Here is a 24355-nt window from a genome sequence, read left to right on the forward strand (position 1 = left end):
TTGAGATAATTATGTGGTTTTTGTCTTTGGTTCTGTTTATGTGATGGATTACGTTTATTAATTTGCATATGTTGAACCAGGCTTGTATCCCAGGGATGAAGCCAACTTGATCGTGGTGGATAAGCTTTTTGACGTAGTGCTGGATTTGGTTTGCCAGTATTTTATTGAGGATTTTCGCATCGCTGTTCATCAGGGATATTGGCCTGAAATTTTCTTTTTTTGTTGTGCCTCTGCCAGGTTTTGGTATCAGGATGATGTTGTCAGGAGTCTTTCTTTTTCTATTGTTTGGAATAGTTTCAGAAGGAATGGTACCAGCTCCTCTTTGTACCTCTGGTAGAATTCAGCTGTGAATCCGTCTGGTCCTGGGCTTTTTTAATTGGTAGGCTATTGATTACTACCTCAATTTCAGAACTTGCTATTGGTCTATTCGGGGATTCGACTTCTTCCTAGTTTAGTCTTGGGAGGGTGTATGTGTCCAGGAAGTTATCCATTTCTTCTAGATTTTCTAGTTTATTTGTGCAGAGGTGTTTATAGTATTCTTTGATGGTGGTTTGTATTTATGTGGGATCAGTGGCGATATTCCCTTTATCATTTTTTATTGTGTCTATTTGATGGGTTTTTTAATTAAAAATAAGAGATATTTGACCCATTTATACCTGAAAATGTCCTATTCTGTTTCTGTTTTCATTATTGAGAAACAAATGATAAAAAAACCCTAGAGGGGAAAAAAGTGCTTTGAACCCCAAAATATAATTTTGTTTTCTAAGTGTACATAGAATAATAAAATGTGGCTGAGGTTGGGTGTGGTTTTTTTTTGTTTTTTTTTTTTTTTGAGACGGAGTCTCACTCTTGTCCAGGCTGGAGTGTGGTGGCACCATCTCGGCTCATTGCAACCTCTGCCTCCTGGGTTCAAGCGATTCTTCTGCCTCAGCCTCCTGAGTAGCTGGGACTACAGGCACCCGCTACCACGCCTGGTTAATGTTTTGTCTTTTTAGTAGAGACGGGGTTTCACCGTGTTAGCCAGGATGGTCTCGATCTCCTGATCATCTCGTGATCCCCCTGCCTCGGCCTCCCAAAGTGCAGAGATCATAGGCGTGAGCCACTGCACCCAGCCGGGAGTGTGATTTTTAATTGTCCTGAAAGCTTCAAGTTCTTCTGACCCAATGTCACTGTCCGTGAGCTCAGGCCGGCAGGGAAGCATGCTGCGTGTATAGCATGTGTCCAGAACAAGGAAGTGCGTCCCTGGGAACAGTCTGGCCCAGGTGTGTGGATCAAGTGTTTGGAGTGGAGAAGCTGGGCAGCTGGAGGGATGCAAAGACAGGCAAGGGTCAGGCATTGGAGGGCCTCGAGTGCCACGATAAAACATTTGAGCTTGATCCTTAGAGAATAATGAAGCCACCAAGGTCTCCTAGCAAGAGGGAGTTATGGTGAGGGCTGCATTTTGCAAAGTTGGAGCTGGCTGCTACAGAGTAGGGACTGGACAAGGAAGGGCAGGCAGCACTGGATGGAGTGTACAGCAGAGAGCCAAAATTCTTTGAGATTTTGCCCCCTGAGGGGTGGGGTCTGTTTCTCTACCCGCTTGCATCTGGGCTGAGCTTGTGTATTCGTCCATTTTCCCGCTGCTCATAAAGACATAACTGATACTGGACAATTTACGAAAGAAAGAGGTTTAATGGACTCACAGTTCCATGTGGCTGGGGAGGCCTCACATCACGGTGGGAGGTGAAAGGCATGTCTCACACAGTGGCAGACAAAAGAGCACTTGCGCAGGGAAATTCCCCTTTATTAAACCATCTGATCTCATAAGACATACTCACTATCATGAGAATAGCACGGGAAAGACCCGCCCCCATGATTCAATTACCTCCCACTGGGTCCCCCACAACATGTGGGAATTGTGGAAGCTACAATTCAAGAGGAGATTTGGGTGGGTACACAGTCAAACCATGTCAGCCTGTGACTGCTTTGACCTACAGAACATGACAGAAGTCATGTGCCAGTTCCAGGCTTAGCCTTTAAGAGGCTGCCCTTTGCTTCCTCCTGCTTGGAACACAGCCACCATACTGGGAGGAAGTCCAAGCAGCTACATGGAGGAGAATGAAGGCCCTGGCCACTGTCTCCAGCTGAGGCCTGAGCCTCCAAGCAGCACTCATTCACCAGCCATGAGTCTGCTTCCTTGAAAGTGGATCTGCCATGCCTGGAGGGGCCACCCCAAGTGATGCTGCATGGAGCAGAAATGAGCTATCCCCACCCATACCGCAAAATCATATTGTTTTACGCCACTAAGTTTTGGGGCAATTTCTTATGTGGCAATAAATACCCGAAACATTGCTCGTGGGAGGCTGGGAGGGAGAACTTTGCCAGGCTCTGTGGACCCTGAGCTGGGGCCTGGGCAGTGGCTGGGTGAAGCCTAGTGCAGGTTTGACAGCTGTTCCCGTGTTTTGTTTCCTGCGAAAATCACAGCAACCTCCTTCCCACCCTCGCCCCCACTGCAAACAGTGTTCAGTCTCCCTGGTGATGCAGCCCCACTCGGTGGCCAGCTGCTGGGCACGGGGCTGCCGTTCGGACAGCTTGCAAGACAGCTGTGCTCCCGGAAATGGAGGGCCCTGGCGATGGTAATTGGCAATGTCCTTCCTTTGGGAAGTCAGCCTGATTCTTCAAATACAATAACAGGGTTTGAGAATTTAATCTTCCCCCCAGGGATACTATTTATTCTGTTATTCATGCATCACGGAGAAGAAAGCTCTTACCACTAAGGATCTGTCAACTTGATTTTCTCTTAATCAGCGCTTATGTCCATCTTTCTGCCAGATCTATGTCTTCTTTGACAAAAACATGGAGCATAGCAGTTCTTTTCCTCAGAGCAGCGCTAGACCCCAAATACTTTTCGGTGGAAACGAGACAGCCCCATGGCCTGCGCTGCTGTAAGATATCTCATCCCTGCACCTCAGTGTCTCAGTCCTGGAGGATACGGGCTCCCCACCTTCCACGGACCCCGGCACTGCGGGTTGCACAAGAACCCAGGGCGTCGGATACATTTGGCATTTCAGACAAAACAAAGAATGTCTTAGTAGGATACATCCCAAATGTCGCACGGGACGTACTTACACTCAAAAATCAGTCACTGTCCGTCTGGTATTCACATTTAACTGCGTGTTCTGTGTTTTTATTTACCTAATTGCGCCTGAGTTACCTAGGGGGACATTTGGAATAAAGAAGGAGCCAACGACAAAAGCAGGAAGGGCTCAGGGAAAGCTGGGGTTCGGGTGGGCAGGAAGGGCCCAGGGGAGTACGACAGAAGGTCAAGGAGGACCCTGCAGGGAGGAGGGATTGGGCAGAGCCTGGGCAGCTCCACTAGATTTTCTTTTCTGTTTTTCTTTTTTTTTTTTTTGAGATGGAGTCTTGCTCTGTCGCCCAGGCTGGAGTGCAGTTGTGCGATCTCGGCTCACTTGCAAACTCCACCTCCCGGATTCAAGCAATTCTCCTGCCCCAGCCTCCCAAGTAGCTGGTACTACAGGCGCGTGCCACCATGCCTGGCTGATTTTTATATATTTTTTTAGTAGAGACCAGGTTTCGCCATGTTGGCCAGGCTGGTCTTGAACTCCTGACCTCAAGTGATCCGCCCACTTTGGCCTCCCAAAGTGCTGGGATTACAGGCGTGAGCCACCATGCCCCCCCACCAGACTCTCTTTTCTTTCCTTTTTTTTTTTTTTTTTTTCTGAGTCTTGCTCTGTTGCCCAGGCTGGAGTGCAATGGTAGGATCTCGGCTCACTGCAACCTCCACCTCCCAGGTTCAAGCAATTCTCCTGCCTTAGCTTCCCGAGTAGATGCGACTACAGGTGCCTGCCACCATGCCTGGCTAATTCTTTGTGTGTGTTTTGGTAGAGACGGGGTTTTGCCATGTTGGTCAGGCTGACCTCGAACTCCTGACCTCAGGTGATCTGCCTGCCTCGGCCTCCCAAAGTGCTGAGATTACAGGCATGAGCCACCGTGCCTGGCCACTAGATTTTCAAAGAAGGTGAGGGAGCAGCCAATAGATTTGAAGGGAATTAGTGACCCACTGTCCCGGTTTGCCTGGGGCTTTTTGGTTTTCACCTGGAAAATTCTGTGTCCCAGGAAACTTCTCAGGGATTTCCAGCCTAGGGAACTGGGATGGCTGATCACCCTAAATAGGAAGGATGTTCTAGATAGAGGAATGTTCTAGACAGAGGAAACAAAGTGCAGAATCACCCAGGTGTCTTTGCCTCCTAGAAACAGCTTGACTCTGTCCTCTCTTCCCTTGCAGAGGGGCATTGGGGAGTTGGGTTGGGTTGGGTGAGTGAGGCACTTGCCTTGGGTACAAAACGTGCAGGGTGCCAAAAAAACTCAGTGATCAGGATAAATAATATTTCAGTGCAATATTTGTAAGTCCAAATTAATGTGAAATATCCATAATGAACAAATTATCAAACATTTAAATAATGTTCCTTAAACATAGAACTACTGTATCACCCAGCAACTGACTTCCCAGGTATAGGAATTGAGAACAGATGTCCAAACAGATCCTTGAACACAAATGTTCATAGCAGCAGTCTTCATAAATGCCAAAGGGGGAAGCAACTCAAGTGTTGATGAGCTGATGCATAGATAAAAAGTGGTCGATCCAGCCAGGCGTGGTGGCTCCCAGCATTTTGGGAGGCTGAGGTGGGCAGATCACCAGAGGTCGGGAGTTCTAGACCAGCCTGACCAACATGGAGAAACCCCCACCTCTACTAAAAATACAAAATTAGCCTGGTGTAGTGGTGCATGCCTGTAATCCCAGCTACTCGGGAGGCTGAGGCAGAAGAATTGCTTGAACCTGGGAAGTGGAGGTTGCAGTGAGCCAGGATTGTGCCATTGCACTCCAGCCTGGGCAAGAAGAGTGAAACTTCGTCTCAAAAAAAAACACAAAAAACAAAAAACAAAAAGCAAAGTAGTCTATCCATATAACAGAATATAACTCAGCCATGAAAAGGAATGAAATATTCATGCTACAGTATGGGTGAACCTCAAAACATGCTGAGTGAAAGAAGCCAGACCCAAAAGGCCATAGATTTTATGATTGCATTTATACGAAATGTCCAGAACAGGCAAATAGAACAGATTTCCCCTGACAGCCCTCAGAAGCAAACCACTCTGCCGACACCTTGATCTTGGACTTCCAGCCTCCAGAACTGTGAGATGATGCATTTCTGTTGGTCAAGCTGCCTGGTGTGTGGTACTCTGCTATGGCAGCCCAAGCCGATGACAACAGTCTCGCTCGTCAGACTGGTGAAAATGTTAAACGTTTGCTAGCATCCAGCTGGGGATTTGGGGAAAGAGGCACTTAGATTCTAAGAGGCTGTAAACGGGTGCAGTATTTCCAGAAGGTAAATACTCATCACTTTTTAGTCCTCTAAAGTATTTTGGGGCCAGACGCAGTGGCTTATGCCTATAATCCCAGCACTTTGGGAGGCTGAGGTGGGTGGATCACCTGAGGTCAGGAGTTCAAGACCTGTCTCTACTAAAAACGCAAAAATTAGCTGGGTGTGGTGGCGGGTGCCTGTAATCCCAGTGACTCCGGAGGCTGAGGCAGGAGAATTGCTTGAGCCTGGGAGGCGGAGGTTGCAGTGAGTCGAGGTTGTGCCACTGCACTCCAGCCTGGGCAACAGAGCAAGACTCTGTCTCAAAAAAAAAAAAAAAAAAAAAAATATGTTGGGTCCCTGAGAAGCAGGTCAGAGCTTTTCCTGCACAGCTCAGGCCTCCAGGTGGAAGCACCCCTCTCTCTTCCCACTGCCCCTCCTTGTGGCCCCCCAGCTGCCTGTCCTCCTCCTGCACACCCACATCCTGGTAGCCAGACGGGTTCCCATATGGCCCTGGGTGCTGCTGATGGGCCTGACTCAGGGCCAGGAAACAGGGGCAGCTGTCCAGGGCCTGTCGCTGAGTCACCTACTTCCCGCCCCCACCCCTCCCAACTGCAGGCGTCAGCCTCTGGCAAGGCCATTAGCAGCCCCTCTTCCTCCAGGCTGAGCTACCCAGAAAACCCCCAGCTGGATGAGTCACCCAGGGCACAGGTGGATTCACGGACTCCCGGCTGTGACCCTGCCTCTGACCAGCAAGGAGGTCCCTGAGGAAGCTCATCTCCCATGGGATGAGTTCACCAAGGAGCAGGAGGGGAGGCTACATGGTGGGGGGCGGGGCTGGGGGCTGGGAAGGAGAGGCTTCCCTGGCACAGAGCCCAGGGCAGTGAAGGAGCGGGCCGGGGGTGGTCTGTTGGAGAAAGAAGATGCAGGTGGTGGGTTTAGGGAGGAGAGAGTGCCACACTGCAGACAAGGATGGCTCCAGCTAAAGAGCCCAGGACTTGTGAGCTGAGCAAAGCAAGACATCAAAAGCGACATCCCCCCTCCACTCACCCTGGAATTGGAGGGGAGAGTTGAGCTTGCGTGGAACTGCGTCTGGGGTGGGAGGTTGCAGGGGCTTCCTGAGAAGCCACCGTGGCTCCCAAGACGCTGGTAGAATGTGTCCACTAATAAAAAGCTGACTAAACACTTTTCAAAGATGCAGCTCTCCAAATTATCCTAGTGACCCCAGGCTTGTCTCAAGCCCATCTCCCTGGGAGACGACAGCTTTCCACGAGGGCTGTGCCACCAACGCTGCAGCATGCGTGCCAGCCACACAGCTCGTGTTCCAGTGCTAGGGGAGCGGGTGCTTGGGCAGCGGGGCACTCCTAGAACTATTCCCACAGCAGACGGCGAGCGGCAACTCAGCCATCCTATGCAAGTGAGATCAATACATCCTATATATATATAGGTGGCTATAAATACACCCACCATGATCCAGAACTAAATGCATCCCCAATCTAACTTCCCCTTAAAGAGCCTAGAAGTGCCTGTGGCCTTTCCAGCACCACATTGTCTGAGGGGAAACTGAGGAAGTGATGTGTCGAGAGACAGGTCTTAACTGGCTGTGATTATGGCTTGCTTTCACATTTCACAAAAAATTTACAACTACGAAAACACATGGACTTAGGGCCCTGCCTGTGGCAGAGCCTGTACTGGCCCACACCAACATTCCATGTCCCCCTCCTCCTTCAGCTCCAGAACTCAAGTGAGCTCAACATCATCCATAATAAAAGACCCTGTTTCCAACCTGTTTCCAAGCCTCTGTTGTGGCCGGGCATGACTCTGGCCAGCAAGATGCATGCAGAAAGAATCTTCCAGAAGGCTGCTTTAAAGATGGCATTCTGTTACCCAATGTCCTCAAACCTCCAAAACTTGCTCTTCCTCCTCTTCTCCCTTCTCAGCTTGCACTCGAAACTCCAATTTCTACTACCTTAACCCCTTAGTAAAAGCACCCAATTGTTTCTGTGAATGAAACAACCCTGTATAATGAACCCATTTAACAAGGTTCTGTCGAATAATCGAATACATATATTAAAAACTCATTCATAGAATGGTATAATTCTATCCATTGATACAACTTTCACCTTAGCCAGATCCTTTGCCAGCTACTCATTTTTTTAGGGGAGCGACTCTAGGGTCTTTTTTCATGACTGCTGTGTTACTGGAGTGGGGCTGGGTGGCGTGGAAATCAGGGAATGGGGGAATCAAGGACACAGACATTTGCAGGGTCAAAGAAATGCCAATTTTAGGTCATCGAGCCATTTCCTCATTTCTTGAGTAGTAACGAGATGGTCGTGGGACTGATAGGTGGTATCGTTCGTCACGTTATCGTCCAAACCTCTCCCTCTGATGAGCCCGTCTTGCAGACATGAGCTTCTCAGCAGCGGTGGAGGTGGTGTACCCTCTCACGTGTTTTTATTCATTCATTCATTCATTCATCAAACATTTGTTGACCACTGTGAAACTGATTGGAACAATTCCTACCGCACGTGATGGAAAACCTCTATGGGCCATTGGCTTAAATAAGAGAGATGCTTCTTCTCCTCTGTTGTGAAACAAGCCTGGAAGTGTGCAGCCCAGGGACCAGGCTCAGGGTCACTGGGACCCAGGCTCCCTCGGCCTTGATGTGTCACCTGAAGCCATCACCTCATGGTCCAAATTCGTTGCCCACCTCCAGCCTTCACGTCCACACTCCAGGCAGCAGGAAGAAGGAATGGAAAAGGACCAAAAAGGGGGCGTACCCATGTAACCCCCTCCACCTGGAGTGTGCTGGACCTCATTCTGTACCCAGTCAGTCCTGCTCACCTGTCAGGTTCAGCTCCCCTAATCCATGCATCTCCTTCCCACGACAATGGGGTGGTTATTTGTACAATAACCATTTGTTGCATACAGTTGGCCCTCCATGTCCACAGTGGGTTGGTTCCAGGAAACCCCTGGCCACGCAAATACCGAAATCCGTGGATGCTCAAGTCCCTTATATAAAATGGCATAGTATTTGCATATAACCTACGCACATCTTCCCATATGCTTTATTTTTAATTTAACTTTTTTATTTTTGAGATGAAGTCTCACTCTGTCACCCAGATGCTGGAGTGCAGTGGCGCCGTTTCGGCTCACTGCAACCTCTGCCTCCCGGGTTCAGTTGTACAAGTGATTCTCCTGCCTCAGCGTCCCGAGTAGCTGGGATTACAGATGTCCGCCACCACATCTGGCTGAGTTTTTGTATATGTAGTAGAGAGAGGGTTTTGGCATGTTGGCCAGGCTGGTCTCGAACTCCTGACCTCAAGTGATCTGCCCGCCTCGGCCTCCCAAAGTGTTGTGATTACAGGCATAAGCCACCGCGATGGCCCTCCCACATGCTTTAAATCATCTCTAGATTACTTATAATACTGAGTATAATGTAAATGCTACATGAATAGTTGTTATACCGTATTGTTTAGGAAATAATGACAAGGAAAAAAGTCTGTACGTATTCGTACAGAGAAACCCATCCTAGGCCTACCTACAAGGACCCAGTCCATAGTGGGTTGAACCCACAGCCAGGGAACTCACAGATACAGAGGGGCCAACTGTAATGGGTCTCCGTGAGGGTCTAACTCCGCAAGGGCAGGGACCCTGCTGCTGATTTCACCACTGCAGCTCCACTGCCAGGCAATGGACGGTTGAGCTCCCGTGCAGTGGGCATGGCCCAGGTGACCCTTGACCCTTGCTTGAGTTCTCAGCTTCAGGGTGGTTTTTCCTGGTGGTGGACAGCGCTTCTAAGGAAGATGGGCTGGCTCGAAGGCAGCGGGGGACATCAGGCTTTCTGCTTGATTTCGATTACTCTAATGGTGACCCACTTTGTCTGCTGCACACTGGGCTGTCTTCAAGATGACAGGTTGACAATGACTGCCATTGGGTCATTACTGAGCAAAGAGCCATTAGCACACTGGCTGTGGTTCCAGCACAGTCTGTGCCGGGAGGCAGGTGTCTGTCATCCCAGGTGTGCTGGCCTCATTTGTCTGAAGGAATCTGCCGACCTCAGGAAACCCCAGCACGCCTTCAGGCCACTGCCTTGCTTGTCTGTAGCCTTCCCATGGTCACCGCACTTCCGGGCCAGGGTCCCAGCCAGGGTTTATACCGAGACCCACTCACCCAGACTAAGCGGGAAGCAAGACGGTGGGTGTCATCCCACGTGGAAAAAGAACTTAGGGACCTGGAGGAATCAGGCATGGGCATGTTTATTTTGAATACATGTGTCTAATTATTCAATGGAGCTTTCTTAAATGAATTCAAAATACATGTGAAGATTTGTTTCCAGTTGCTTAATGTCTTTTTAATAAGGAGGCTCTGACCAGATAACCTACCCTGAAATTTCTTTTTCGTTTGTTTTTTGTTTTTTGTTTTTCGAGACGGAGTCTCGCTCTGTCACCCAGGCTGGAGTGCAGTGGCACGATCTAGGCTCACTGCAAGCTCCGCCTCCTGGGTTCACGCCATTCTCCTGCCTCAGCCTCCCAAATAGCTGGGACCACAGGCGCCTGCCACCACTCCCGGCTAATTTTTTGTATTTTTGGTAGAGACGGGGTTTCACCATGTTAGCCAGGATGGTCTCGATCTCCTGACCTTGTGATCCACCCGCCTTGGCCTCCCAAAGTGCTGGGATTACAGGCATGAGCCACCGCACCCGGCCTGAAATTTATTTTTCTTTTTTTCCTTTCTCTTTCCTCACTTTCCTTCCTTCTCTTTTCTTCTTCTCCTTCTCCTCCTCGTCCTCCTCCTTCTTCTTCTTCTTTCTTCTTCTTCCCTTCTCTCTCTCTCTCTCTCTCTCTCCCTCCCTCCCTCCTTCTTTCTTTCTTGACAGAGACTTGCTCTGTTGCCTATGCTGGAGTGCAGGCTTGATCGTGGCTCACTGTAGCCTCAACCTCCTGGGCTCAGGTGATCCTCCCACCTCAGCCTCCTGAGCTGAGTAGCTGGGACTACAGGCACGTGCCATCATGCTTGGCTGATTTTTAAAAAATATTTATTTATTTATTTTTAGTAGAGATGAGGCCTTGCTATGTTGCCCCAGCTGGTCTTGGACTCCAGGGCTCAAGTGATCTATCTACTCACCTCAGCCTCCCAAAATGCTGGGATTACAAGCGTGAGCCACTGCGCCCAGTCTGAAGTTTCTTTGAAAGCAAAAAAGGAAACAAAAAGAGTACATAGGCCCAAATGAAGACAGCTGAAAGTTTAATGTACCTCAAATTCCAGCCCATGACTAAGGGATGGACTTTGAGTCTCTTTTCGAATCCATCTCAAGGATTTAGGTTTAGAGTTTGTGCTCCTTTAAACAGACTAAGAGCCTCTGTGACAAAGTAAATAGAGAAAATAAGTGTAGTCAAGCTCTGGCAGGATTTGGAAGGGGGCCTAACGTGGAAGAAAGGAGAAGGCTGGAATTGACTAAGATGTGCTATGCACTGGGCTGGATTTGTTCTCAGCAGAAAGCAAGAAAGAGCTCTGGGATGGTAGCAGGGCTCCCACTACCACCGGGGGCCAAAGGTTGCAGTATTTCTCAGGTAGCCAAGAGGCACCCATGAGCCCAGCCCCTGCCCACTCCCTGATGTCATCTAGACACAAGGACATGGGGCATGAGAGGACATCATTGTCACTTCTCTGCAGAGTCACAGGAACGTGCCCTCTGCTCCTCCGCCTCTCGGCTGTCCTTCTGCCCACGGCTGGCCCAGACTCTCATGGCGACTCACTGTCTCCCACGCCCCCACTCCCGGCAGGAAACCACTTCAGGGTTTACTGTGGGCTCCGAAATCAGCCTGTGAGTCCTAGTTAGGGTCCCCTGTGCCTGACTCTCCTCTCCCCAGGCTGCAAGAAATAGGGATGACCAGAAGTCAAACTGTGCCCTTGGGAACACCCCACCCCTCACCACTGTCGTGCCAGGAGTCTGTTCCTAAGACCCCTCCCCAAGTCCTGTCTCCTCCTCTTCCTCCCATAAACCACAGCAGACACTCAGCCACCAGGCTGCAGCCCTGCACCTTCTCCAGCAGCCGCTGGCCTTCGCCAGAGTTCTTGAAAGCCCAGTTGTCCTTCCCCAGCCACGTGGAGGCAGACGGATCTCTCCTGGGGGCAGCCTGTAGCTGTCTGTGCAAAGGTTCCCAAGACTAAAGTGTAGAGGACAGGTAAGATGACACTGTCATGATCATCATTCGTCCTGTGCCCTGTGGACATCAACCCACAGATGTGACATCAACCCATCTGATATTGAGCCCAGTGGGTGGGGAGATCCTAACCCAGCTGCTGCTGTTGAGGACTTGGGTGGTGTCTGGCCAGTGGGAGGGGAGGTCAGGCGAGTTTTCAGCAGATGACCCCGTGCTCTTCGGAAGCCCGGAGGTGCCACACTGTACAAGTGTGATGCCTGGGATCCTGTGCTCCCCTGATGCCTGGGAATGGGGTGAAGGAACAGCCTAGGCTTGGGTTCTCTCCTGGGTTGTTTCGGGACTTGGCCCCAGCTCAGGAAGGGTTTGTGGAGGAGCCAAGGAGGGCCTTGTTCCTGTGGGATGTCTTTGCCTTGGGCACAAGGACAGCCTCTTGCTGCTGCTCTGCCCACCGCCCACCCCTTGGCGGCCTCTGGGAGTCTGGGCTGCTCTCCCTCTGGACCTAACCAGTTGCCCAATGGCTGGACCTGCTTAAAGCTCCCTCTTACAACTGGACCAGGCAGCCAGGGGAGGCACTGAGAGGCCGAGCTTCTGAGCTGGTGCCTGTGGATGCTCGACGGTCCCGCAGCTCCCACAATGGGATGGCCAAGCAGACCCTGAGATCCACAGCCCCCCTTTAGTGAAACAGGAGGGAGGTCGCTGGGCACAGGGAGCCGGGAACGCCTGCCCTCCCCGCCATCGACGGCTCCCGAGGCCTGAACCTTCGCTCCAGCCCCAGCACAAGCCGGCCAGGGCGCAGGGCCAAGTGTTGCCCGCCATTCCCCGGGTACCCCATGACCTCCCAGCTGGGGCTGGCTCGGACTGAGGAGTCGTCCCTGCCCGTCACCCTCTGGGGTCTCCAGTGCTGCGGAGCTCAGCTGGCTTTTGCAGCGGTAGGGGCTGGGAGGAGAAGCTGCAGGGAGACCGCAGGCGTGGGACGTTGTGGGGGGTCAGGCTTGCTCTGGGGCTGGGACCCCGGGGGGAGCAGTGGGGTTGACGCCACAGCGATGACTTGGGCCACGGGTCTGGGGGCTCTCCCGCGGGGCGATTGGGCTCTGTCTTTCGGGATTAGGGTCTCTCCCACAGGGTTTGGGGTTCTCTCTGCAGATTTGGGGGAGTCTCTCCCGCGGGATGAGGGGGGGCTCTCCGCCGCACCCGCCTATGATGGCCCAGAGGACCCGAGCTCGGGTCACTCCCGTCGCCCTCGGGGCTCGGCGAGGGTGCAGGAGGCGGGCGCTGAGCCGGTGACGCGACTCCGGGCGGCTCCCGGGTGCGCCGCATATATAGCAGCGGCGGCGGTGGCGGCGGCCACACCGGGCGGCGGACACGTGGAGGGACCCGGCCCGCGCCTTCTGCCCCTGCTGCCGGCCGCGCCATGCGGTGAGCGCCCCAGGCCGCCAGAGCCCACCCGACCCGGCCCGACGCCCGGACCTGCCGCCCAGACCCGCCACCGCACCCGGACCCCGACGCTCCGAACCCGGGCGCAGCCGCAGCTCAAGGTACTACTGGCGCCGGGCCGACCCTGCGCCCCCGGGAGGCCTCCCCTTCGGCTTTCCTCTGCCCAGGGACGGTTCTGCCAGGGCCCTGGCCCGGCCGCCGCCTCTGCTCCTCCCCGCAGCCCCGGCACTCCTTGCCTCGGGGCGCAGCCCACTCCGGGTTCCGACCCGCCCGCCCTGTCCTTCCCTTCCAGATGGCCCGAGGCAGCGCCCTCCTGCTCGCCTCCCTCCTCCTCGCCGCGGCCCTTTCTGCCTCTGCGGGGCTCTGGTCGCCGGTAAGTGCGGGGCGCGTCTCCTCCGAGCGAAGGGGACATCAGAGCCGGCCGGGCGTGGAGGGCTTCCTGGAGGAGGCAGCCTCCGCCCTGCCCGCGGGGATGGGGGTGGAAAGTGGAAAGGCGGGCGCTGTCCTGGCTGCGGGCGTCGCGGGAAGGGTCCGGGGCTCCCTGGGATTCCCCCCGCGCGCTTCTCCGAGTGTATCAACAGCCCCGGGCTATAACCAGGCCGCCGGGAGAGCTCTGCGCTTCGGGTCAGCGCCTCGGGAAAGCGAGAAGCTCGCCCGTTCCGCAGGGCTTAGTTAGAATGGAGGGCTAGGAGCCACTGGCGTGGCCTCAGCGTCACTAAAGCAGGTGCAGTGCGCTGAGAGTGCGCGGGCTCAGGCCCTCAAGTGAAGTATTTCGTAAATAAAGTGGTTCCATTTTCATGTCAAATATAGCCGACTTAGGGGTAAACCTGGAATTTCGCGAGCTATCCAAAAGCACATGCATTGTTCTAAGTCCTCTGCCATGCCGGGAAAGCCTGGGTGCACCCATTCAGCATAGGCTCCAGGCACAGCCCTGGCATCTGATCCCCTTTTCTCCCTTCAAGGCCAAGGAAAAACGAGGCTGGACCCTGAACAGCGCGGGCTACCTGCTGGGCCCACGTAAGTGACTGACAGCATGGCCTCCCCACTCCTGACCCCACCTGCCCCTCGCTTTGAACCCTGGCTCCTGCCCCTCCGCCTGCGGCTGGGCAGACCCTCTGGCCTCCCTCTTGACCTCATTGCCCGTCTCCATTGCTCTGCACACTTGATCTGTGTACGGTTCTTTCCAGAAGCTTCTCCTGCCCCGGCTCTGCCGCCCTGTCCCGGGGTGAGATTCCCACCCTGGGCTTTGCTCAAGTTCTCCTGGGCTTTCCCGCCTTGCAGTCCTTACAGGCCCTGTTCTGGGCCTCTCCCCAGGCCCCCGGGTCTCCCAAAACACTCAACTCCTCGGCTTGCAGAGCACCCTAGGTCAGCGGACCCCAAATCCTGCCTCCCTCTTCCCTTTCTCCAAGCTCCACACGGGAATTGCCAGATCGCCTGAAGGCAGCCCAGACAGGCTCCCCTCAAAACAAGGTTCAGGTGACCCTGCCTGCCCAAGCCTGTGTCCCCTCCCTCTCCCTGTCCTGTTGTTGTCACCTGTGTCAGCGGTGTCCCCTGCTGCCTGAGGTGAGCCCTAGCCCTAGATGGGACACTGCAGGCTGACACCTCCCCGTGTCCGCCCCCGCCCCTGTCCCAGGCCTCTACTTTCTCCACATCCTTGGTCTGTGCAGCAATGCCTTCTGACTTTCCTCCAAAGGAGGGGACAAGAGGAGGCCTTGGTTCCCTCCTGTAACTCACCTTCCCCTCCACACCTCACCATCCACCTTAAAAGCCTCCCTGTACTGCCTTCTGCCAGAGGAAGGATGTGAACAGCACGCAGGGCCTATCTGAGCCCCGCGGAGCAGCAAATGGGGAGAATGGTGCTCTTCTCCCCATGCCAAGGAAAGCTGACTTAGTTCTCAGTCCCAGAGTCGAATACAGCTTCCTCCTCCTGCAGACGCTTGTTTATCGGGGTCACTCAGAGGACCCCCAGAGTCAGGCTTTAAGAAACAGACACGGGGATGACAGAGCCGCCTGAGGCCGCGTGCGGATCGGTCCAGGCTGTTCACCACAGAGCCTGCTGGTCTCTGTGCGGCCCTCTCATCCTCTCCCTGCCCATGGAGTGGCCTGACCTGCCTGAGGGTCGGCTGATTTCCTCAACCCTTTGCAACCCTGAGCTCTGCCACTCAGAGGGCACCTCATCTTTGTGTGCTACGGGCCCAAAACAAAGGCAGAACTGGTCAATGAGAACATTTATCTGTGTTGCTTTGGAATATTGAAAATCTATTTGTCAAGAAGAGTTTGACCCCTAATTAGAAAACAAACTCATTTTCGCCATCAATTTTACGGCCCTGTTCAGCTGTAGCTAGACGAGTTGTTTGTCAAAATACTTAAAAATGTGCCTTTGATTTCTAGGATCTGCTAGAAATGCAGCAAAAGCAATGTTTTTGCACCAGCTGCTGCTGAACGCAGTGTGGCCGTGGCTGAGGGTGCATCAGTGACATGAGGCGACCTATGATTCCTCTATAAATTTAGCACCAAGAACGGCATCTCTGGAAATACGCGTTAATTCTCCTTTGTCTGGCCTTGTAGATGGCACAGTCCACCCAGGCCAACCAGCTGGAAACACAGAGGCGTCCTCACCCTCGTCCCCATCTCTCATTTCCATTTCCTTTCCTGCACAGCCCCAAATCCAGCCCTCCTCTTCACCCCACGCCTCTTGGTTTACAGCCTTCATCGTTTCTTCCCTGGAATTCTGGGATCTCTGTGCTTGCAATCACAGTTCCTCCATTTTCGCACCACGAAACACACCCACACACACACGGGAACGCACACACGCTCCTGCACCCCCCACCCCCATCCTGTCTCCCTCTGTGACCCTCTCGCTCCCTCTGTCTCTCTCCTTCTCTCTCTCTGGCTCCAGTCCATCTTGCACACAGCTGCCAGAGTGAAAATAAAAATCAGATTCAGTCACAACTTAAACTCTTCAGCGTCCCCCATGCTTTCAGGGACATGAGGACCCAGCTCCTGTTGTCTGCCAGGGAGTCACCCAGTTTGATGCCAGCTCAGTGCCAGCTCAGATGCCAGCTCCTCTGGACCCAGGCGCAACCCCTGCAACAGGGCAGGTTCTGGGCCTCTCCCCCACTTCAGGAGCCACACCTCCCTTTCTCCCACCCACCCTGTGCAAACCCTCACATTCCCTTTGACCCTGGTGTGAGCGGCCAAGCTCTTACCTCAGCTGGGTGGAGAATCGCTCCCTCTGCTCTGGTGTCTGTCCCTGGGCTCTATTTCACAGTCGAGTTGCGTGTGTGTGTTGGCTACAGGCAGCCCTGTGTCCTTCTTTGGGTGTGGGGAGGGCGTGCATGACAGTCACACCCAGAGGCTTTCCTCTCTGATCTGCAAACAGATGCCGTTGGCAACCACAGGTCATTCAGCGACAAGAATGGCCTCACCAGCAAGCGGGAGCTGCGGCCCGAAGATGACATGAAACCAGGTGAGAGGACTCCTATCCCGGGCCCCGGGGCACCTCACTTCCACCAGCTCCCAGGTGCATGCAGGGGACAGCTGTGGGTGTCGGGGCTGTCCACAGCTGCAGCCCAAGCCTGGCCATGACTTGACTAAGACGATGTGGCCTCGCCACACCTGTCAGCAGCTGCAAACAGAACGTGCAAACCCGAGACAGCAAGGGGTCCTTCTAGGCTGGGAGGCTGCCCAGGCACCAGGGCCTCCAGAAGAGCGGGACTGGGCACGATGGCTCCTGCCTGTAATCCCAGCACTCTGGGAGGCTGATGCGGGTGGATCACCTGAGGTCTGGAGTTCAAGACCAGCCTGGCCAACATGGCAAAACCCTGTCTCTACCAAAAATATAAAAATTAGCCAGGCGTGGTGGTGGGTGCCTGTCATCCCAGCTACTTGGGAGGCAGAGGCTCGAGAATCACTTGAACCTGGGAGGCGGAGGTTGCAGTGAGCCAAGATCATGACACTGCATTCCAGCCTAGGCAACAGAGTGAGACTCCATCTCAATTAAAAAGAAGAAGAAGAAGAAAAGCGAGGCCTCGAACTGGATATCTCCCCAACTCCCTCACATTGAACAAGGGCCTTGGAAAGCACAGCAGGGCCTCAGGCTGCTGGGATCAGATCATTGACCTTGCAGCGCCCAGCTCCTCTGTAGGGAGGGGGATGACCTGAGACACTGAAGCACCCTCTGCACAAGTCGTGAATGTTGATCTTTTCTCTTCTAGGAAGCTTTGACAGGTCCATACCTGAAAACAATATCATGCGCACAATCATTGAGTTTCTGTCTTTCTTGCATCTCAAAGGTATGTGAAATATCATCAACTTAACATTCATCTCTTAGTACACTGGAAACGTAAAAGGCCCATCGAGAAGAGAACCCATAGAATCCCCCTGGGAAGTAGCCGATTACTTATCTACGTACAAAGTCCTGTTTGGCTGTGTGTCGGGATAACAGAGAATGTAACACTAGAGCTAGCTCCAGAGGGCTGGGATTGCGGCAGGGGCATTCTACCGTCGTGGAGGGCCATCGGGCCAGCGCTGGTCCCAGGAAGAGAGTGGGCCTCAGGGTGCAGCTCATTCTACTGGAACCATATCTATTCACACGGTGACAACTGCTGTACCTTTTAGGGCAGAGGTATACTACAGGCCAAGTTCTTTGTGAACCGTCCTAAACCTTTTCTCTTTTCTTTTTTCTCTGTCTTTTCTTTCTCTTCTCTCTTTTCTTTCTTTCTTCTTTCTCTTCCTTCCTTCCTTTTTCTTCCTCCCTCTTTCTCTCTCTCTTTCTTCCTTCCTTCCTTCATCTCACTCTGTCGCCCAGGCTCGAATGTAGTGGTGCAATCTCAGCTCACTGCAGCCTCTGCCTCCTGGGCTCAAGTGATTCTCGTGCCTCTTCTTCCCAGGTAGCTGGGAAAACAGGTGCGCACAATTATGCCTGGCTAATTTTTGTATTTTTAGTAGAGGCTGGGGTTCATCATGTTGGCCAGGCTCATCTTGAACTCCTGGCCTCAAGTGACCTGTCTGCCTCAGTCTCCCAAAGTGCTGGGATTACAGGCGTGAGCCACTGTGCCTGGCCCTAAACCATATTTTCTAAGCATGGGAAATTAATAGAAGCCCATATCTTAGACTGCAGTGTTTCTCTATGCAGCCTTCCTGCCAGGCAGGCTGCCTTGAAATCTAACTGGAAAGGCTCTGATCCTGGCTTCCAGTGTCTTCTGCAAACACTGGGGATGAGGAGACCTCCGCACACTACGCTTGGCATTCATTCTACGATGGGCATCTGGCCTTGATCAGATAACCACACAGGTCCTACTGCAGCAGTGGAGGGAGCCGGAAAGCGGCCCCGGTGCTCTGAGGGTTAACAGGGAGGTGGTGGTGGGGAGGAGGGATGGACCGCTTTGCCTCTCCAGCAGAGAAGACCTTCACCTGGTGCTCTGAGAGTTAAGGGGGAGGCAGTGGTGGGGAGGAGGGATAGACCGCTTTGCCTCTCCAGCAGAGAAGACCTTCACCTGGTGCTCTGAGAGTTAAGGGGGAGGTGGTGGAGGGGAGGAGGGATGGACCACTTAGCCTCTCCAGTGGAGAAGACCTTCACCTGCTGCTCTGAGAGTTAACAGGGAGCTGGTGGTGGGGAGGAGGGATGGACCGTTAGCCTCTCCAGTGGAGACCTTCAGTTGCACATCACAGTTTTGTCCAGTTTTGAAAAATCAAGGCTAATCCTTGGGTTCATTTTGGATCAGGATGTTTTTCATTTGCAGTGTTATCGGGCTGCACTTTAGGTGGCGATGGGGAGAGGGAAGAGGAGTGAGGGGAGGGGAGCGGGGGAAGGAGACTGCCAGAGAAGGTCTTGGAAAAGGCGGTGTTCATTAGAAATCTCAAAACCGAGTCACCAAGTTCCCTCTGTTGGAGCCCAGTGGAGCCTCTGGGAGAAAAGCTGGGGTGACTTTTCCTACAAGGGGCAGAGGGACTCTGCTAGATTTTTGTTTTTCATTTGTTTTTAATTTTGTAACATGGAAACTCTTTCCTTAGGATATACCAGCTCTCATTACTCAGCTAGGAATTATACCTCTTTAAAGCCTGAATTTAAAAGTCTGACAGTTTTAAATGCTTACTAACTGTGGGAGTTAAATCATTACGAAGTGAGGAATACAGAGTGTTGTCCCTGATTCTGGGTTTAATCTGGTAAGAATCTTTACAGAGGACGACCACACGCCGCTTCCTGTAGCATGTGTCGTGGTTGTAATTCTCTCATGTGCATATTAAGAAGTTGCTGCTCAGATGTGGCTCTTCCCTTTGCAGAGGCCGGTGCCCTCGACCGCCTCCTGGATCTCCCCGCCGCAGCCTCCTCAGAAGACATCGAGCGGTCCTGAGAGCCTCCTGGGCATGTTTGTCTGTGTGCTGTAACCTGAAGTCAAACCTTAAGATAATGGATAATCTTCGGCCAATTTATGCAGAGTCAGCCATTCCTGTTCTCTTTGCCTTGATGTTGTGTTGTTATCATTTAAGATTTTTTTTTTTTGGTAATTATTTTGAGTGGCAAAATAAAGAATAGCAATTACTTGCAATTGTCTTTTTCTTCCACACCTCTGTCTCATCACCAGCGCCACCCATGGGTTTTAAAAGATAAAGCTTGATCATAATCGTGGATTAGACATGAATTTTAAACCCAAATTCTACCGTCAAGAGCATCTGAGACACCACCTGTTATTGCATGTCCAGGGGACATAAATTTATCTCCATATTAAGCTGAGTCAAATGTAATTATGAAGGTAAGTCTGTTACTGAGATGAACAAAAACACAAAACAGACAAAACCCCTGCCCTCGTGGAGCTGATATTTTAGGGAGATGGGAATGAAAAAGACTACAACAACCTTAAACAGATGGGTGAGTTGCGTGGTACTCATGGAGGTGGTCAGTGCTGAGAACAGACGTGTTGGCCAGGTGGGAGGGCCAGGAGCAAGGCAGGAGAGGAGAGATGGGCGGGCAGGTAGAAAGGCAAGGGCAGGAGGTGTGTGCAGGGATGGTGCTGTGTGAAGGAAGGCCTGTGGGAATATCTCTTAACGTGACAGAGACTGAGTCTTTTGAGCAGAGATAAAAAGATCATCCCAGAAGTTTCGAAAAGAAGGCAGGCGACCTGTCGCGGTGGCTCATGCCTGTAATCCCAGCACTTTGGGAGGCCGAGGTGGGCGGATCACTTGAGGTCAGGAGTTTGTGACCAGCTTGGCTAACATAGTGAAACCCCATCTCTACTAAAAATACAAAAATCAGCCGGGCATGGTGGTGCACGCTTGTAATCCAAGCTACTTGGGAGGCTGAGGTTGGAGAATCATTTGCTCCTGGGAGATGGAGATTGCGGTGAGCCAAGATCACACTCTAGCCTTGGCGACAGAGCGAGACTCCGTCTCAAAAAAAAAAAAAAAAAAAAAAAAAAGAAGGTAGGCGAGGGGGAAAAGCCGGACATTTCTGTCAACGTGGGAGGTGGTACACAGGCCTTTTTGGTTTCACCAGAGCTGGCTGTGCGGTGGGAGTGGGAGGTGGTTTCCCAGTTTCCCCCCATTGGCAGTTTGCTGCCTAAGACCTGTTTCAAGGGGCACAGAGCCCTGGCATCCCTCTCCCTGCTCGGTGACCCCCCCCTCCACCACCAGTCAGCTGTGCCCCAGCTCCACCCTGGCTGCCTCCCTCTCCTGCAGGCTCCACGCTCACGCTTGGTGGCCTTGGGTCGCCGGCGCTTCAGACCACTCCCAGCCCGGAGGTAGTGACGTCATCCACCTGGTGGGCTAAACACCTGGGCCCACCTTCTCACTTCCTGTTCACCATCCGCATTTATCCTTTTCCACTTTTTGTTTTGTTTTGTTTTGAGATGGAGTCTCACTTTGTTGCCCAGGCTGGAGTGCAGTGGTGCGATCTCGGCTCACTGCAACCTCCACCTCCTGGGTTCACGCCATTCTCCTGCCTCAGCCTCCCGAGTAGCTGGGACTACAGGCGCCTGCCACCATGCCCGGCTAATTTTCTTTTGTATTTTTAGTAAAGACAGGGTTTCACCACGTTAACCAGGATGGTCTCGATCTCCTGATCTCATGATCAGCCCGCCTCGGCCTCCCAAAGTGCTGGGATTACACTCTTCCATGTTTTTTAAAATCTCTAGTTCTCCAACTTGGGCAGGCACCAGAACTCCCCGAGGCCTTGTCAGGAGGCAGTGGCTAGGCCCCTCCCCAGGGTGTTGGAGCCAAGAGGGCTGGGTGGGCTGGAGCTGGTGGAGCTGGGCCCCCAGCAAGCTTTCCTGCCGCTGCTGCTGCTCACTGGAGGCCTGTGCACATGTCCCTCCCAAGGCCTAGGGAGCTCCTGGCATGGAGGAGGCAGATGAGTGGGTGTGTCTGGGGACCACACCTCGGCCACTGGGCTCCAGCCCCACGGTGTGCAGCCTGTCCTGTCTGGTCTTCCTGTAGCCTTTGCCCCCAGATCCAGTGGCCATGGACACCACCTCTGCCTCAGCCCGCCCCCCAGCCTCCTGCACTCAGTCCTGCAGACCCCACAACTGCGGCCCTGCCTCGCTGACCTAAGGCCTTTGCATGTGTCCCTCCCAAGGCCTGGGGAACTCCTAAGCAGCCCACAGGATTCCGCTCCAGGGTCACCTTATCCAGAGTGCCCTTCCCGTTCCTCCGCCCCAGCATGTGCGGTGCCACCCTAATCAGCATGCCTGTCACTCTGATTGTTTGCAGATGTGTCTCTCCTCACTACACCATGAGAAAGAAGTACCTGAAGGACCCGAGATTAATGACGCTGTGCTGAGTGCTGGGCTCTCCGCACTGCACATGGCTCGCACGAGCCTCCTGAGCAGTGTTCAAAAAGGGCCAAGGAGCCCAGCCTCCATGCAGGTGTGCGGCCTCTGTGCAGGGGTGCGGCCTCCATGCAGGTGTGCAGCCTCCGTGCAGGTGTGGGACTTCTGTGCAGGGGTGCGGGCCCCAGGGTCAGCAGCACAAAGGTGTCGGACTCTCCCCCTGTGGCATCATCTACCTCCTTGTCTAAACCTTGCCTTCCTTTTAGGTATAAACGGAGTGTGGCAGGTGGCAGCCAGAAGGTGAGGGAAAGGAAGTGAGGGGCCAGGAGCGGCTGTGGTGCCATTTGCTGTGATGGACAAGGCTACAGAGGTGATGTCTTTACTTCCCAGAGAGAACGTGGTTGGAGCTGGCCGCAGCCATCCTGGATCAATCTGTTGCTAACAACAGCAGTCTTTTCAAGGGAAGGTGTTCTCCAGCCACCTCGGGAAGCGAAGAATTTACGGACAGGCCTGAGAAACACCAAGATGCCTAATGGAGAGGTGGAGAGTGTTGAGGTTGTGCACCTTGGAGGAGGTGGCTGTCTCCATCATAAAAGCTGATCAGCATGAAAGCCCGTCCACCTCCTACTTGCTCTATCTAACCAGGAGCAGAGCAGACGCCAGGGTGATGCTGCCTGAGGGCGCCTGGCATGGTGGAGGTGGGTGAGCAGTGGGCCAGTCTGAGGAAGAGGCCTGGGCTCAGGAGGTCCCTGGAGGAAGGAGGAAAAGTGCTTTGTTTAAGAGGAAGAAAGAGACGCGGGGTGTGGTGTCTCATGCCTGTAATCCCAGCACTTTGGGAGACCAGCCTGGGCAACATGGTGAGACCCTGTCCGTATAAAAAGAAGTAATTAAAATTTTTTTTTAATTAAAAAAGAAAACAGGAGGGAAGAGAGAGTCTTACAGGGATAAGGAAACCCTAACGCCAAAGATGTAAAGAATTTACAGCTGATCATTTTCTAACATAGGGCCCAGGAAACTTTTATTTCAATGCAAAAAAAAAGGGGATTCTTGTACATTTTGGAGTCAGGATTGTAAGCCTCCAATAAAATTCTAAGCCGCCTAACCAACTGAATGGATCCCTCTCTTGGCCAAGGAGACCCCAAAGAAGCCTCAAAAATTAGGTCATGACGGGAAGGGAGGGGCCAGACATGCTCATTATGCCTCTTCCCCATGGAGTTTAGACACAGCTGACCAGGGACCAGCATTCACATTACAACAGAGATCTTGAGACTGACAAATCAGCCTCTTTTTAGCAATAAGATACCAAATTCCAGCCTGACTCTGGTATAGCATCACATGACAAATAACAAGCCCTGAAGGAAATGAAAGTATTTTAGCCCCACATATATTTCTTTGACATATTCTGAAATGGCCCTGCAAAGCTGACTCTTGTGGGGGAAATTTGCGTTCTATAGAGAATCTCCTTCCTAGTCTGACACCTTTCTAAGGTCTGGTAAGAGACATTCACCTGAATGTCTATTCTCTCTGGAGCCTGCTACCTGGAGGCTTCATCTACATAACAAGAACCTTGCCTTCCACAACCACCCCCTCCCACCTCCATCTACCTTCCCTTAATTCAAGTTAACTTCAACTCTTCAGAAGGGCTTAACTCTTTCAACCAATTGCCAATCAGGAAACCTTTGAATCCACCTATAACCTACAAGCACCCACCCTACCCCACTCATTGAGATGTTCCACCTTTCTGGGCCAAACCAATGTATACCTTACATGTATTGATTTATGTCTTTGCCTGTAACTTCTGTCTCCATAGAACGTATAAAACCAAGCTGTAACTCAACCACCTTGGGTATATATTCTTAGGACCTCCTGAGGCTGTGTCACGAGCCATGGTCCTTAACTTGGCAAAATAAACCTCTACCTTGATTGAGATCTGTCTTGATACTTTTTGGTTTACAAGATTTTATCCTGTGTTATCATGATAAAAACTAAGAAGGCTCTAGAAACCAGAAAGCTTGACAGTCTCTGATATAACTTTAAAAAAAAAAAGATCCAGTGATTTCTGCTTCCAGGAGATGGAGTAGAGGTAGAATTTTCCTTTGTCCTTTTGCTAAGTACAATTAAAAATCCTGAACATCATATATAAAGCAAACATAAGAAGACTCTGAAAGCCCAAGCAATAGGCAGACCAGCTAGGAACTTCAGCCCGTGGTGAGTTCCCTGGGTTTTCTTTTTGCCTCACATATCTTAGACTTGGGCTGAAGGAGCCAGCATCCTAGAAATGCCAACAGGCACAGACCACGAAGGCCCCAACAAAAGCTGCCCTCTCTAGATAAAGGACCAGGAAAGGGAAGCCTGGTAAGACAGAGAATTGTAGATAATGACCACTCTACTCCAGACAAACACCCCAGCAAACACTGTGGCTTCACCAGGCCAGCCAAGGCTAGGTGGGGAGCCTAGACTTACTCATAAGGCTGTGACAAGGTGGCCCAAACCCCAACCAGGGGAAAGTTGTAGGGTGCCAAGTAAAGAACCAGGACTTCATCCCCCACAACCACCCCATCCCTGGCAGTAACAAGACCCCCTATACAGTGTCAGCAGAGACCACCTGGGAGCCTGGATTCTGTGTCCC

The 24355-nt window shown here is 52.5% G+C and overlaps 1 protein-coding gene and 1 long non-coding RNA gene across 2 annotated transcripts, besides 4 other annotated features; one reads left to right on the forward strand and one right to left on the reverse strand.

Annotated features, from left to right (window-relative positions):
• Positions 1-5236: 5236 nt before the first annotated feature.
• Positions 5237-17188, reverse strand: LOC107984343 (uncharacterized). Its single transcript, XR_001748281.1, has 3 exons — positions 17122-17188; positions 16171-16333; positions 5237-5320 (listed from the first exon to the last, which is right to left on the reverse strand). It is a non-coding gene; the product is annotated as an uncharacterized LOC107984343 (long non-coding RNA).
• Positions 11593-12268: an enhancer, noted in NCBI's record as "H3K27ac-H3K4me1 hESC enhancer chr11:68450731-68451406 (GRCh37/hg19 assembly coordinates)". NCBI's record gives its function as "activates a minimal SCP1, AML or CMV promoter by ChIP-STARR-seq in naive H9 embryonic stem cells {active_cell/tissue: H9 hESC(naive)}" and the evidence as "EXISTENCE:reporter gene assay evidence [ECO:0000049][PMID:30033119]".
• Positions 12874-19505, forward strand: GAL (galanin and GMAP prepropeptide). Its single transcript, NM_015973.5, has 6 exons — positions 12874-13062; positions 13254-13334; positions 13924-13978; positions 16344-16430; positions 17179-17256; positions 19247-19505. The coding sequence occupies exons 2-6, from the start codon at positions 13254-13256 to the stop codon at positions 19315-19317; spliced, it is 372 nt and encodes a 123-aa protein (NP_057057.2). The 5' UTR covers positions 12874-13062; the 3' UTR covers positions 19318-19505.
• Positions 12945-13620: an enhancer, noted in NCBI's record as "H3K27ac hESC enhancer chr11:68452083-68452758 (GRCh37/hg19 assembly coordinates)". NCBI's record gives its function as "activates a minimal SCP1, AML or CMV promoter by ChIP-STARR-seq in primed H9 embryonic stem cells {active_cell/tissue: H9 hESC(primed)}" and the evidence as "EXISTENCE:reporter gene assay evidence [ECO:0000049][PMID:30033119]".
• Positions 20531-20825: an enhancer, noted in NCBI's record as "tiled region #1260; HepG2 Activating non-DNase unmatched - State 23:Low, and K562 Activating non-DNase unmatched - State 18:Pol2". NCBI's record gives its function as "activates a minimal TATA promoter and a strong SV40 promoter by Sharpr-MPRA in HepG2 cells, with weaker activation in K562 cells {active_cell/tissue: HepG2 | K562}" and the evidence as "EXISTENCE:reporter gene assay evidence [ECO:0000049][PMID:27701403]".
• Positions 23082-23583: an enhancer, noted in NCBI's record as "NANOG hESC enhancer chr11:68462220-68462721 (GRCh37/hg19 assembly coordinates)". NCBI's record gives its function as "activates a minimal SCP1, AML or CMV promoter by ChIP-STARR-seq in naive H9 embryonic stem cells {active_cell/tissue: H9 hESC(naive)}" and the evidence as "EXISTENCE:reporter gene assay evidence [ECO:0000049][PMID:30033119]".

The sequence above is a fragment of the Homo sapiens genome, chromosome 11, assembly GCF_000001405.40.
Source record: "Homo sapiens chromosome 11, GRCh38.p14 Primary Assembly".
NCBI classification, from domain to species: Eukaryota; Metazoa; Chordata; class Mammalia; order Primates; family Hominidae; genus Homo; species Homo sapiens.